This window comes from Homo sapiens, chromosome 12 (assembly GCF_000001405.40).
Source record: "Homo sapiens chromosome 12, GRCh38.p14 Primary Assembly".
Taxonomy (NCBI): Eukaryota; Metazoa; Chordata; class Mammalia; order Primates; family Hominidae; genus Homo; species Homo sapiens.
Genome location: NC_000012.12, coordinates 118,773,031 through 118,774,605, shown reverse-complemented (window position 1 = coordinate 118,774,605; position 1,575 = coordinate 118,773,031). Strand labels below are relative to the sequence as shown.

The 1,575-nt window shown below is 55.2% G+C and overlaps 1 long non-coding RNA gene across 1 annotated transcript; it reads left to right on the top strand.

The window, feature by feature from the left end:
• On the top strand, nt 1-1,575 carry LINC02440 (long intergenic non-protein coding RNA 2440). The gene is made up of 3 exons (NR_183608.1): nt 1-120; nt 831-995; nt 1,304-1,575. It is a non-coding gene; the product is annotated as a long intergenic non-protein coding RNA 2440 (long non-coding RNA).

The window sequence follows — 1,575 nt, the reverse complement described above, 5'->3', positions numbered from 1 at the left end:
CTCCCCTTCACCAGCTCCGCGGAAACCATAGCAACGGGCAGCCGGAAGATGCGGCCATTCCTCTCCCTTTTGTCCATTGCATTTCAGCAGCGCCCGCGCACATGGACGCTCCAATTACAGGTACTTGGGAGGGGACGCCTTTGTCCGCGGCCCATTCACGGCGGAGCCGGCTCCGGGCGGAGAAGCTGTCGGGCGCTGTCGCACAAAGCGATTTTGTGCCTCCTCCCGGCGCCTTCCTCCACTCCCTGCCGCGTTCAAGGACAAACAAGGACCTCCAAATTCGTGTTCAAACGCCCCGCGTGGTAGGCAGTGTGGGGGGGTCAGAGGAGAGTCTGGAAGGAACCCAAAGGGTGAGCAGACCTAGCCAGTGAAGAACGCACAGACATACTGACCCAGCAGCCCCCAGAAGAGAAGCCAGGGACCAGAAGCGCAGGGCACGGGAATGTGTCATGATTGGCGCACAGGCTGTGGCCCCACCGCTGCCTGCCTTACTCCCCTCTGCGCGCTGACCTTCCACTCCTCCTGCACCGAGGTCCTTCTCAAACCAGAGGCTTCACACCTGTTCTTCCCTCTGGCTCAGATTTCCCATCCCTCTTTGCACACTTAACTGCTACCCGACCCTCAGTCTCAGCTCCAGCGTGCCTTCCTGGAAGAAGCTTCCCTGCCCACCCCTCCATTCCCTTTCCCAGGTTCCCACAGCCCCCTAAGCTGTGCTTTCCACGTCTACAATCATATATATTTCTTAAATGCCGTATAAGTTTCCAGCGGCTCCTGTAACAGATGACCACAAACTGGATGGCTTAAAACAACACGTATGCATTGTCTCCCAGCTCTAGAGGCTAGAAATTGGCAGTCAGGATGTGTGTAAGGCCACGCTCCCTCTGAAGACTCCAGGGGAGGATCTTTCCTTGCCTCCTCCAGCTTCTGGTGGCTGCCAGCATCCTTGGCATTCCTTGGCCTGTGGACACATCACTCTCATCTCTGCCCATGGTCACGTGAGTTTCTCTCCGTGTCTCTCTGTCCTAATTTCCCTCATTTTATAAGGATACCGGTCATTGGATTTGAGTTCACCCTAACCCAGAATGACCTGTCTTAACTTGATTATATCTGTAATGTTATTTCCAAATGATACAGACAGGAGACAGGGTGACACTGGGTAGAAGAGGGTGGTTCTCCAGCAAAGGCCCCACCCTCAAGCCTGGATACCTGAGGCCCTAAATGAGAATGGGAATTCCTGTTTTCAAGCCCCCAAAGTTGCCTTTTGGCCCACCACGCCCCCTATCTTGCCCCCATATAAGCCCAGAACCCCAAGCTCCAGAATACAGACCAGCAGGCGAGGAGACAAGGAGGCAAGCAGATGGATGGTGGAACAAAGTGGCAGAGAAAGAGAGAAGAGGAGAGATGTCTGGACGCCAAGAGGAGTCTGGCTGGGGCCAGTCAGAGAAGAGTCCAGCGGCTGGGCAGCCCGACTCCAGGGGAAGATCACCTTCCCACTCCATCCCCCTTCACGCTCCCCATCCATCTCACTAAGAGCCATCTCTACCACTCAATAAAACCTTGCATTCATCCTTCAAA